This window comes from Homo sapiens, chromosome 21 (assembly GCF_000001405.40).
Source record: "Homo sapiens chromosome 21, GRCh38.p14 Primary Assembly".
Taxonomy (NCBI): Eukaryota; Metazoa; Chordata; class Mammalia; order Primates; family Hominidae; genus Homo; species Homo sapiens.
Window position 1 is genome coordinate 40,354,132 of NC_000021.9, and position 14,699 is coordinate 40,368,830.

Here is a 14,699-nt window from a genome sequence, read left to right on the forward strand (position 1 = left end):
CTAGTGGTAGACAGATCAGTGGAATGACTATGGTTTGCAATTATGTATTGTATATTTCAAAATAGCTAAAACAGAAGAATTGAAATAATTATAGCTTAAAGAAAAGCCAAACATATAATGTGATGGATATCCCAAGTACACTGATTTGATTTTAACAAATTATATGAATACATTAAATTATCACATGTACCCCAAACTATATATCTATTATGCATCAATAAAATATCATAAAATTAATAAAATAAATATTTTTTAAGTTAGTGGCTCACTCTGTAGCTCAGGCTGGAGTGCAGTGGTGCAATGATTGCTCACCACAGTCTCAAACTCCTGGGCTCAAGTGATCCTCCTGCCTGGGCCTCCCAACATGCTGGGATTACAGGCATGCACCACCACACCCAGCCTAAATAAATTTAAACAGAAAAAAAGAGCAACACTAGGCCGGGCATGGTGGCTCAGGCCTGTAATCCCAGCACTTTGGGAGGCCAAGGCAGGCAGATCACGAGGTTAGGAGATCGAGACCATCCCGGCTAACACGGTGAAACCCCGTCTCTACTAAAAATACAAAAAATTAGCTGGGTGTGGTGGCGGGCGCCTGTAGTCCCAGCTACTCGGGAGGCTGAGGCAGGAGAATGGCATGAACCTGGGAGGCAGAGCTTGCAGTGAGCCGAGATAGCGCCACTGCAGTCCGGCCTGGGTGAAAGAGAGAAACTCTGTCTCAAAAAAAAAAAAAAAAAAAAAAAAAGAGCAACATAAGCAGAAATAGCTGTTTAACTTTAGTAAAATTTATTGCACAAAAGAGTTTTACACATAGCTTTTGAATTTTAAAACATTTTATTTATTCATTTCACAAATATGTTTTGATCCCTCAGTGTAGACCAGCACAGAGTTAGGGACTAAAGGGAGAGTGGTGGATGAGACAGGTGTCTTCCTGGAGCTCATGTTCTGTTGGGCGGGTGGTGTTGGGGAGCAAGCAACACATTAGCAAGCAAATAAAGATAATTTAGTTTGTAATAAGTGTAGTTAAAGAAAGAAAAAGAGGGCATAACAGAGAGTGAAGTCCACGTGCTATGGGTGTGGAGGCAGCCAGGAGGACTCAAGATATGGTCCTCAGGGACAGACTCTCTGAGAAGATGGTATTTGAGATAAGGTGAATGAGCACTACCGACAGCATGTGGCGTAGCAAGACAATGGATTAAAAAGCAGCAGCTTGCAAATGATCACTTATGACAGGGCCTTGTATAATTTTCCTGTTCTGTGACATCATCTTGAACCAGGTGAGGAAATTGATAAAATATTCTCAAGAACTGGGTCTGTGGAAACCACGCAGCTCAATGTCCTTCAAGTTTGTTTGAATGGAGTGATGTTCCCAAGGTCATAATCTTTGCATGACTATGAAGAATATAAAATACAGCACCTGATTGGATGCTAAACGTAAAACTCAGTGTTCTCACCCTGCTCTCTCTTCTAATTCAACCTGTTTAGAACTTGCATGAAACAATACCCTTGCATTCCACATGGATATTACAGAAACGTTATAGACTCCTGCTACCTGAAATTTTCTTGTCTTTGCCTCAGTGAGAAAAATGCCATGACTCTTTTGATCTACCTGCAATAAATCTGATGGCCAAGGAATGGATATTCACTGTCCTATCAAATGAGAGCCATCTGGAACTTTGTAATTTTGACGAACATCTCTATTCCCTGCTTCTCTGAGTTTGACTTTTTTAGATTTCACATGTATGTGAGAAAAGACAGTGTTTGTCTTTCTGTGCGTGGCTTACTTCACTAAGCACAATGCCCTTCAGGTTCATCCATGTCATTGCAAATGGGAAGATTTGCTTCCTTTTTTAAGGCTGAATAATATTCCTTTGTGTATATAGGAATGATATTCCTATGCATGTGTGTATATGTATATCAACACTTAAGTTTTTTTCATATTCTGGCTGTTGCGAATGATTCTGCAATAAACATGGGAGTGCAGATATGTAATTTCATTTCCTTTGGATATATACCCAGAGTGGGATTGCTAGATCATATGGTAGGTAAAAGGGTACAAAGCTTCAGTTATGCCAGATGAATAGATTCTAGAGGTTTACTATGCAGCACAGTGACTACAGTTAATAACACTATCTTACATACTTGAAATTTGCAAAGACAGTTGATCTTAAACATTGTCATCACATACACACACATACATACATACACACACAAATGTTAACTATGTGAGGCAATAGATATGTTATTTTGCTTGATAGTGATATATATATATATATATATGCACATTGTACATCACATTGTATACCTTAAATATATACAATTTTCATTTTTCAATACCTCAATTAACCTGGAGGAAAAATAAACTCTAGCCAAGGAGATGTAACAGGCGAAAATGTGTGGATTTGTAGGAAATTCTGCTTAAAGGCGACTTAGCTGGGAGGGGTGTTTTTATGCATTTTTCCTTTGCTTCTTTACATCACCTGGAAGGTGGATATAAAGGTAGGAGCTGCAGCAATCACTTTGGACTTTGAAATCATATTGAGAATGGAACTGCACGTGAGGATAATGGATCAGAAAGATAAAAGCCTGGTCCCTTGTGAAACTGAAGCTGGCAAACCAGCTTCTGGACTTATATACAAGAGAGTAAATTTCTGTTTTAATAAACAATAACATCAAAAAATCATTTATTAGTAGGAAGACTTCTTTAAGAGGCTGTGATTCCGTAGTCAGCCACTGAGGGCAGTCAGCAGGCACTGTTGAAAATAGAACAAAAACATTTAGCTGAAATGTCTTGGCTTTCTATTTCTTTTGTGATCATCAGAGATAAAACTTCATTATGAACTTGCTGCTCTTTTTACTTCACTGGTGTCTTATGACAGTGATATAATGAGGGAACCTAAATACTCTTTTAAAGAATACTTGATGAGCTTCCAGGACTCCTCTAATTCTTCATTAACTGAAGAATTCTATATTCCAGAATTACAGTCATTCATATGCATGACTATAGGGCTCCAGAAGGCAAGAGAGATATAAAAGTTTCACAATACCCAGGTACAGAGCCTGTGCCAGCAAAAACTTCATTGCTTCATTTACCTGCTTCTAAAGGAAATTACAAACGGACTTTGAAAAGTATTGGTTTGAAGATCAAGTTATGTTCCCATAGACTGAATAATTAAGTGGAGACAGGCCTAACCAATGATGTCTCACTGATCTCTGGCATCTTCTAGCATGAACCAAGAATCCAGAAAAATGGTTAGCTGTCTGCATCCATGTTACTGGAAGTATCATCACCTGCACACCCAATGGGTTCAGTGAACTAGAAGACACAAAGTTGTGCCTAAAGCCAGCTCCAGAAATGGTCCTGGACATCCTTAACCACATGGGATTTTTTAATTCCTAGTACACTAACTTGCAGACCATATAAACACCATTGCAATATTGTTTAGTAAGTAGAAATCACATCCAAGATAATATGTATTACTTGGGGTAAGCTTCTCTATTATTCTGAACTCTGTCTTCATTTAATTAAGAAATGTGAGAATTGGACACAGGAAGGGGAACATCACACACCAGGGCCTGTTGTGGGGTGCGGGGAGGGGGGAGAGATAGCATTAGGAGATATACCTAATGTTAAATAACGAGTTAATGGGTGCAGCACAACAACATGGCACATGTATATATATGTAACGAACCTGCACGTTGTGCACATGTACCCTAAAACTTAAAGTATAATAAAAAAAAACAAAAACAAAAAATGTGAGAATATAATGATAGCTCTCGTTCTTCAGTAATACAGATTTTAGTTACACTAGAGTGGAATATTGAAGATATTAGAAAGTACTATGAAAAAATAGCTGCAAAATCTGTCATTTTACTTAGAGTAGGAAGTAGAAGTAGAGTTGGAGAAGGTGGCACAAAGATGTCACCCCTTTGGCAGGGGTGGCTGACAATAAACACCACAGTGTGCACCTCTGACTTTCTTTGCAGAATAATCCCACAATCTCTGAAAATGAAATGCACCAACTTCTAATGCTATTCATAAAAAATCAACTCTCAATGACTGCACTTAAAAAGTTTTATTCTAACTGAAACTTGGCAGAAATTTCTCAAATATGCTTAAGATAGTGCTATGTAATTCTAATGACATTTTTAAAAAATGGCTGAGACAACTGGATATCCACATGGAAAATAATTTAGAACCTTGCCTCACACTACCTACAAAAATTAACTCAAAATGGATTATGGCCTAAATATAACAGCTAAAACTATAAAAACTTTTAGAAGAAAACATAGGGAAAATATCTTCATGACCTTGAAGAGTTCTTAGGCATAACACTAAGAAAACAAGCAAAAACAGAAAAAATCAACATAATAAACTTCTTCAAAATTAAGAACTGGCCCAGTGCGGTGACTCACGCCTGTAATCCCAGCACTCTGGGAGGCCGAGGCAGGCAGATCACATGAGGTGAAGAGTTCAAGACGAGCCTGGCCAACATGGTGGAACCCCGTCTCTACTAAAAATACAAAAATTAGCCAGGTGTGGTGGCATGAGCCTGTAATCCCAGCTACAGGCAGAGGCAGGATAATAGCTTGAACCCGGGAAGCGGAGGTTGCAGTGAGCCAAGATCATGCCACTGCATTCCAGCCTGGGCAACAAAGCAAGACTCCATCTCGAAAAAAAAAAAAAAAAATTAAGAACTGTAGCATTTTCAAAGGCACCATTTAGAAAGTGAAAAAAAATTGAAAATCATATTTCTAATAAAGAACTCAAATCCAAAAAATATTAAAAATGCTTATATCTCTATAATGAAAAGAAACAACCCAATCAAAATGGGCAAAATAGTTGACTATTTTACATCACCAAAGAAGATACACAAATACCTAATCAGTACACAAAAAGATGCTCAATATTACTAGGCATTAGGGTAATATGAATTAAAATCACAGTAAGACATGACTTCACACCCATTAGGATGACTGCAATAAAATCACAAACAATGCTGGTGAAGATATGGGGACCTGGAATCTTCATACATCGTTGGTGGAAGGTAATATATACTTACATATGCACACATATACATCTCACGTAAAAATGGCTTGCTGGAGTGCCAGCCTTCACATCCACATCACAGCAAAAATGCTTAAGAATGCCCCCTCAGTGAAGTCACTTTTAAGCAGAATTTCCTACAAACCCACACATTTTTCTCCTCTTACATCACATTGGCTAGAGTTTATTTTTTCCCCAGGTGTATTGTGGTATACTTGCCAAATAAAAGCAGCCAAAACAAGTTGGCATTTTCTTAAAGTGTTTAAACTTCAATTTGCCATAAGGCCCCAAGTTCTAGGTATCTACCCTAAATGAATGAAAACATGTTCACTCAAAGACTTAGGTACAAATGTCCATAGCAGGATTATTCATAATCAAAAAGTGGAAACAACCCAAATATTCATAATTTAGTGAATTGATAACCAAATGCAGTATTTACAGATGAGCAAATGCTCTCCAGCAACAAGAGAGAATGAATGACTAATACATGTAACAACATGGGTGCTGCATGAAAGAAGGCAGACACAAAATCCATATATCAATTTATGTGAAATATCCAGAAAATGCAACTCTACAGAGACAGACCATAGATTAGTGGTTGTCTGGGACTGGGGATGGACATTGAAATTGGCTTCAAACGGGTAGGAGGAATCTTTTGGGTGGTGAAAATATTCTAAAATTAAATTGGCGTAATTGTGGCACGACTCCATGCATTTACTAAAATTATTGAATTGAATAAACCGGATGGAGTTTATATTAAAGTAAACTACCTCTCAACAAAACTGTTTTACGAAACCTGAATGAGGTATTTATTTTTTTATTTCAACTTTTATTTTAGATATAGGCGGTATATGTGCAGATTTGTTACATGGGAATATTACGTGATGCTGAGGTTTGGAGTAGAGATCCTGTTCCTCAGGTAGTGAGCATGGTACTTCATAGGTAGTCTTTTTTTTTTTTTTTTTTTTTTTTTTGAGACAGAGTCTCGCTCAGTTGCCCACGCTAGAGTGCAGTGGCGTGATCTTAGCTCACTGCAAGCTCTGCCTCCCGGGGTTCACACCATTCTCCTGCCTTAGCCTCCCGAGTAGCTGGGACTACAGGCGCCTACCACCACGCCCGGCTAATTTTTTTTGTATTTTTACTAGAGGCGGGGTTTCACCGTGTTAGCCAGGATGGTCTCTATCTCCTGACCTTGTGATCCGCCCATCTAGGCCTCCCAAAGTGCTGGGATTACAGGTGTGAGCCACTGTGCCTGGCCCTTGATAGGTAGCTTTTTAACCTAAACTCTCTGCCTTCCACAGTCTAGTGTCCACAGTGTCTATTGTTCCTGTATTTGTGTCCATGTGTGGTCAATATTTAGCTCTTACTTATAAGTGAGAACATGAGGTACTTGGTTTTCTGTTCCTATGTTAATTTACTAAGAATTATGGCCTCCAGCTCCATCCACATTGCTGCAAAGAATGAGATTTCATTCTTTTTTATGGCTTTCCAGTATACCATGGTGTATATGTACCACATTTTATTTATCCAATCTACCATTGATGGACACCTGGGCTGATTTCATGTCTTTGCTATTGTGAATAGCCCAGCGATGAACATACAAGTGCATATGTCTTTTTGGAAGAATGATTTATTTTCTTTTGGATATATTACTCAGTAATGGGATTGCTGGGTCAAATGGTAGCTCTATTTTAAGTTCTTTGAGAAATCTCCAGTCTGCTTTCCACAATGGCAGGACTAAGTTACTTTACCACCAGTAGTGTATAAGTGTTCCCTTTTCTCTGCACCCTCACAGCATCTGATGTTTTATATTTTAAGTGCATGATTGAAGCAATGCTTGAGACAGGCTCTTGTGGGGATATTTGGTCATATATCAAATCTGAATAACCGAACGGCATTGTCTTTCATTTTCATCCCCTTCAAATTTTTTTTTGTCTCAAAGTCTTCAAACTTTTATATATATATATATATTACAAAAATTATTTTTACCCCAAACATTTGAAAACGTACAGAAAAGTAGACAAAAATAATATGACGCATCCCATATATTCATCATATTAATGGCTCTGGCACCAAACCTTTTCTATTTTTCGTCATGTTTATTTCTTGATAGTTTTACTTTGTTTTTGGTGGTAAAGTATATGCAACAAAAGGGAAACTATAGGCTGGGTGCAGCGGCTCACGCCTGTAATCCCAGCACTTTGGGAGGCCGAGGCAGGGGGATCACAAGGTCAGGAGATCGAGCCCATCCTGGCCAACATGGTGAAACCCTGTCTCTACTAAAACACAAAAAATTAGCTGGGTGTGGTGGTGCATGCCTGTAGTCCCAGCTACTCAGGAGGCTGAGGCAGGGGAATCACTTGAACCCGGGAGGCAGAGATCGAAGTGAGCTGAGATTGTACCACTGCACTCCAGTGTGGCAACAGAGTGAGACTCCATCTCAAAAACAAACAAACAAACAAACAAACAACAACAAAAAACAAAAAAGGGAAGCTATGTCATTTTATCATTACATGACTAGCATGTTTCCCTAATAAAAATACGGTTTTGTTACATAACCACAGTCAGTATTACATAATATCAAGTATTATACACTCCCAATTCATTTTTCCTCATCAGCTCAAAAGTGGCTAGCTTTTAAACAATTGAATTAATTAAATCAAGATCCTTCTCTTGCTCACATGCAGTTGTTACATCTCTTGAGTGTTTCTTAATGCAGAGCTAGCCCTCCTCCTTTCTCCCATGTATTTGACTTGGCTTTTTAAAGAAACCAGGTATGATGTTCCCCCTCCTGTGTCCATGTGTTCTCATTGTTCAATTCCCATCTATGAGTGAGAACATGCGGTGTTTGGTTTTTTGTCCTTGCGATAGTTTACTGAGAATGATGATTTCCAATTTCATCCATGTCCCTACAAAGGACATGAACTCATCATTTTTTATGGCTGCATAGTATTCCATGGTGTATATGTGCCACGTTTTCTTAATCCAGTCTATCATTGTTGGACATTTGGGTTGGTTCCAAGTCTTTGCTATTGTGAATAGTGCCGCAATAAACATACGTGTGCATGTGTCTTTATAGCAGCATATGTACCCTAAAACTTAAAGTATAATAATAATAAAAAAAAAGAAACCAGGTAGTTACCATGCTGAATTTGCTTGTCCATGTCATCATTTAACTTGTTCCGTTATTGCCATAGGCATTTTTCTTATGAACTGGAATTTATTTCAGTGGGTTGGTTAGATAAGTGTTCAACCTCTCTCTCTTTGAGAGGGGTGCTGTGCACTTCACATTGCTTCCACAAAATGTATGGTTTTCCCGTTCTTAGTGACACTCAATTGTTCAGTGAGGTCAGATGTTAAAATTTATCTGAGCTATTTTGCTAAGGTTGAAAATGGAATTTTCTAATTGTGTCATTTCGTTCGCATTCAGTAGATATAATTATTCTGCAGAATGAACTTTCCCTTCTGAACTAAGGTTATTTGGTTATCTTAAAATACAGCAGCTATAGGAAAGACAATACATTTAGTGGTTGTTGTCTTTAATCATCTGTTATCAGAATGAAGAGTTAGTGCCCTGGTTTCTACTATGCAGACCAATAAGATTCTTCTTTCTTTCTTTATATGAAATATATATGCAGGTGTGCATATGTAAGTATATATGTACATATGTGTATATATCTATATATACACACACATGTATGTATAAAATTAAAATGAACTCAAAGGTTTTCAAAATATTTAATGGTTATCAATCATGTGCAAGCATCACTGCTGATACTCAATTCATCCCCTTTGGCTGACGAGAGCCGCTTTATGTTGATTCCTATGTCATTTTGACAAGACCCCATTCATGTTTCAGACTCACCTCAGACATTTCCTGCCTCAGACCTTCAATCAGCCACTCCTCCAAGAAGCCATGGTCCCTTTTAGTAGTGAATTATATTTAAAAGAATCTACAATCTAGATGTTAGAGGGGCTTGTTGCTATTGTTTGCTCATCACTTCTGGGACTTCTCAGTGGAAAGACTGAAAATTCATACTTTTTTTTTGAAGTGTGTACCAATAGTTTTTTGTGTTCTTTTTTTTTTTTTTTTTTGAGATGGAAGTTCACTCTTGTCACCAGGCTGGAGTGCAATGGTGCCATCTTGGCTCACTGCAACCTCTGCCTCCTGAGTTCAAGCAATTCTCCTGCCTCAGCCTCCTGAGTAGCTGGGATTACAGGCACCCACCACTATACCTGGGTAATTTTTGTATTTTTAGTAGAGATGGGGTTTCATCATGTTAGCCAGGCTGGTCTTGAACTCCTGACCTCAAGTGGTCTGCCTGCCTCGGTCTCCCAAAGTGCTGAGATTACAGGTGTGAGCCACCACGCATACCACAAATACCAATAGTTTCTATTGGAATTTGACATTTCAAGGATTTTATGCATTTTTTAAAATTTAGGGAAAGGACTTCATGTCTAAAACACCAAAAGCAATGCCAACAAAAGCCAAAATTGACAAATGGGATCTAATTAAACTAAAGATCTTCTGCACAGCAAAAGAAACTACCATCAGAGTGAACAGGCAACCTACAGAATAGGAGAAAATTTTTGCAATCTACTCATCTGACAAAGGGCTAATATCCAGAATCTACAATGAACTCAAACAAATTTACAAGAAAAACAAACAACACCATCAACAAGTGGGCAAAGGATATGAACAGACACTTCTCAAAAGAAGACATTTATGCAGCCAAAAGACACATGAAAAAATGCTCATCATCACTGGCCATTAGAGAAATGCAAATCAAAACCACAATGAGATACCATCTTACACCAGTTAGAATGGTGATCATTAAAAAGTCAGGAAACAACAGGTGCTGGAGAGGATGTGGAGAAATAGGAACACTTTTACACTGTTGGTGGGACTGTAAACTAGTTCAAACATTGTGAAAGTCAGTGTGGCGATTCCTCAGGGATCGAGAACTAGAAATACCATTTGACCCAGCCATCCCATTACTGGGTATATACCCAAAGTAATATAAATCATGCTGCTATAAAGACACATGCACACGTATGTTTATTGAGGCATTATTCACAATAGCAAAGACTTGGAACCAACCCAAATGCCCAACAATGATAGACTGGATTAAGAAAAAGTGGCACATATACACCATGGAATACTATGCAGCCATAAAAAATGATGAGTTCATGTCCTTTGTAGGGACATAGATGAAGCTGGAAACCATCATTCTCAGCAAACTGTCGCAAGGACAAAAAACCAAACACCGCATGTTCTCACTCATAGGTGGGAATTGAACAATGAGAACACATGGACACAGGAAGGGGAACATCACACACCGGGGCCTGTTGTGGGATGGGGGGAGGGGGGAGGGATAGCACTGGGAGATATACCTAATGTTAAATGACGAGTTAATGGGTGCAGCACACCAACATGGCACATATATACATATGTAACATACCTGTACGTTATGCACGTGTACCCTAAAACTTAAAGTACAATTAAAAAAAAGTGTATATATATATATATATACACACACAGTAGTATATATACATATATATATATACACACACTAGTATATATACATATATATATATATATATACACACATACATATATATACACACTAAGGCACATCTGTTCTCTTAGAGCTTAGGATAAAAAGTACATATGTAAAGTATTTAGAAATAATTATTTCAGTTGTATAAATGCCTTACATTTTTGTTATATTTCAAGAATTTCTATAAATTTTCAAGAATTATAAAAGAATTTCATACTTTTATTTTTCTCTTATACTGAAAATAAAAATAAAAATAACATAAACATAATCACTTTTCACTTATCCCACTATATATGCTACTATAAATAAAAATGAGTATCTATAATATATAATATATAAACAAATATATTTAATGTGATGATTAATATTGAGTGTCAACTTAATTGGATTGAAGGATGCAAAGTATTGTTCCTGGGTGTGTCTGTGAGGGTGTCACCAAAGGAGATTAACATTTGAGTCAGTGAACTGGGAGAGGCAGACCCACCCTCAATCTGGGTGGGCACCATTAATCAACTGCCAGTATGGCTAGGATAAAAGCAGGCAGAGGAACATGGAAAGACTAGACTGGCTTAGTCCTCCAGCCTACATCTTTCTCCCGTGCTGGATGCTTCCTGCCCTTGAGCATCAGACTCCAAGTTCTTCAACTTTTAGACGCTTGGACCTTCGACCACAGACTGAAGGGTGCACTGTTGGCTTCCCTACTTTGAAGGTTTTGGGAATTAGACTGACTTTCTTTCTCCTCAGCTTGCAGACGGCCTATTGTGGGACTTTACCTTGTGATCACGTGAGTCATTACTCCTTAATAAACTCTACTTTATATATACATCTATCCTATTAATTCTGTCCCCCTAAAGAACCCTAATACATATATAGAGACTAGACTCCAATTTTTACCTTCTAGACACTACTAACCTTTCAGAAGAGTTGCTCATCTTCTCGGAGTTTCAGCAATCTCCTCTAAAACTGTCCCTACTGAAAAGGCAGTCCTCAATACCAAACTCACTTCTTGTGGCTGTTTTCCTCTGGAATTTGGTCCTGTAAGTTTTCACTCTAGCTCCTAACAGCCATGAGCAGATGTTTTTTACACATTTAACAAGTCTTTCTAGTTATCCTCAGAGAAAGAATGACTTGTCCAAATAACTAGCCCTAGCACAGAAATCAAGACCATTTTAAAAAATATTAGGTCAGTTTGTCTATTTTACTGACTTTTTTTTTAAAGAAAAAACTTGTTTATTACATTTACTGTTCTTTTGGTCTATTTTCTATTTCATTAGTCTGTTTATATTCTCCCTTAGAAGTAACTTGAACTTATTTTCTGGCTGTCTAAATGATATTTTTCTTTATCTTTACAGCTCAAAAATTTTATTAGACTATGTTGCATGTTGACCATTCTGGGTCCATTTTTCCAGGTAGGGTTGTGCCATTTTAATATGTAGTCATTATGCATTCTTTTTAATGACAGGAGACTTTTTTTGAATTAGTGTTTTATTATTAATACTTATTCTCATCAATTGCTTGGCTTTCTTTTTAAGAGAATTTAGTTATACATGTGTTTCATCATCTTTGTCAGACATCTATACATTTTTAACTCTATTTGTCTTATTCCTTAATATTTTTGATTTCCCATATTATGCTTTCTGTTGTGTTTATCCTCTGATGTGTTCCCTGTCATTTCATTTTAATTTTAGAACTCTTCATTTTTCTAACTTTTTCCAAAATATGCCACTTTTTGTTTCACAGATTTGTGTTGTTTCATCATTTTATTTCTGATTTATACTGCTCTTTCAAAGCTTTAATCATTTCAAACAAAAAAATATAGTTTTCATATGATTTGTCAGTATTTTTTGTAGTTACTTATAATCAAAACTTTTTTAAAAATTTTCATTCTTTTTCTTGTGATAAAGTTGTGTTGGGTTAAATCTTTTTCCTTTTTGTTTCATTTTACAATAAGATAGAGATTCTTAGTTAATTAGGAGAAGGTTCCTGCAGGAGAGGATGAAATGAGTATATTTTTCCAGTCTTCTCCCTTGATATTACCTTCAAGGACTCGACATTTAGCCCATCTCTCAGAGCTATATGGGATTGAACTGTATGGGCTTCCACTTCTGGCCATGTGTTTCCTAGAACACTGTTTTTTACATTCTAAGGCTGTGCGTGTTGTATTTTCTTTTGCAGTATTTCATAGGATGGAATTCTCTAGGGCCTCCCCTGGTTCCCGAGCCTTCTCTGTTACTCTTTGTATTCTACTCTGGCTCAATTTGATTTCTAAATTGAGCCGTTCCCCTGAGAGTGAGTCTCTGTTCTTCTGAAAGGAGTACTTGCTGAGTACTTCCACTATCTTCAAGGACATAGACCATCACTGGCCTGTGCAAACATTACCAGCCACTCTAATGGCCTTGTGACTCATCTCCAACCTAGACCTCATGCAGTTCTATCCCAGTGTTGTGAGGACTCTAAGACACAAAGAATTCTCCTCTGCTTTTGGAGATGGGGACCCGTTGGTTATTTGCAGTTTTCTGACACTACCATAAACCCAACAGGCTGACCCCTTCTACTGCCTTCCACCTCTGCTGCTGGTCCTGTTGTTGCCAGTAATCCAGTTGTGTTGAAGGTGCCATCCATGTACTTTTTTCTTTGTCATCCTATTTTATCTGTGTTGGTTTCAGGAGGAGTTTGGGGTCAAACACCAACATGTTTCCACCATGACCCAAACTCCAGATGTACATTTTTCAGTATATTTAAATCTAATTTAAAATGAAATTAATTTCTCTTTTCCTTCAAAGCTTGACATGTTAGAAATGCATTCTGTATTCAGTGTCTACAGTCTCATCTTTTAGCATTAACAAATTTCTTCCTCAACTGCTTTATTAAAATTTCAATGACAAAAAATATTGAGTTATTTTCCACATATGGTAGACTCTCATATGAGCCTTTTTGTGGCATGTGACTCTGTGGACCCCTCCCTTCTCCTGGCATCTATCACCTCCCTGTCTTCATCTATACTGTTAGTCCTGAATGCTCAGTCTTATTCCTTGGCTACTTTTCGGCAGGTGGCTTAGTGTATGATATTCCCTGGCTGGATTATACATTGTTGCTCTCACTTTTCCAATGCTCACTAGGCAATCCTAGGACTCCCATGGTGACAAAATGCTTGTGACTACTTCTGTCCATTTTTGAAACATTAGTGAATCACTCCAAAACAAAAAATGAACAAACATCGTGGGATTAAGGAAAGTAAACTTGCCTTTCCAACCCTGAGAGATACATTTAAAAATCAACACTTGATGATTCAGCATGAAGATAAAAAAGGTCACCTGAAACAGAAAGACGGGCTCTTAGATCATCACCACTTATGTCATCATTTGGAGGGAGAAATGCTTATTTACTAATTTTGCGAATCCCAAATTAATTTTATATCAGGATCCCCCTCCTACCTCGAATCCTTCCCCTTTCTTTTCTGAACATGCCATTAGAAAATTTCTCTTTAACACAAAGAGGACGTTTTCTAGGATTTTCTGAATAAGCAGAATATTGTGCTCTCCTTAAAGCTATCATGGACTAAGATGATAGTTATTATTCATTTTCTAATTCATTTTTCCCCCAAAAGACATGATAACTATAAAAGCAAGGGAGAAAATAGCAATTGACTTGTAAAAGAACAGATAAAGAAACAAAAATACTTGCAAGTTCAAAGGAAAACTAATTTAATTCTGACTTGTATTTGTGCTGGACCTTGAAAGACTATTGGCTATTTTGAAGATGTAAGTGATGAAGAGAAAAATCCCAACAGTACATTATCAAGGACAAAAAGTGGGTGCTCAGGCAGTGATGTTTTAAATTATTCCAATGTTCAACAAGTTCCCTTCACTTCTTCCCATAAAGCATTATTACAAATAAGGTACTTCTCAAATATTGATAGCAAGCAACCTTTGGTCACTTCCATCTCACTATTACAACCTTATAGGATATTTACCACAGGGGGGCAATTTTATATTCTTCAGCTACAAAGGCAAAGGTTGGGTATTTTGTATTTGGTTTTATAATCAAATCAAATGCAATTTGACTGCATTTGAGATGGATATTTGGGATGGAGA

The 14,699-nt window shown here is 37.4% G+C and overlaps 1 protein-coding gene across 4 annotated transcripts in view; it reads right to left on the bottom strand.

Moving 5' to 3' along the window:
- Positions 1-14,699, bottom strand: part of DSCAM (DS cell adhesion molecule) — an 836,160-nt gene that overhangs the window by 343,133 nt on the left and 478,328 nt on the right. The window lies entirely within an intron of this gene.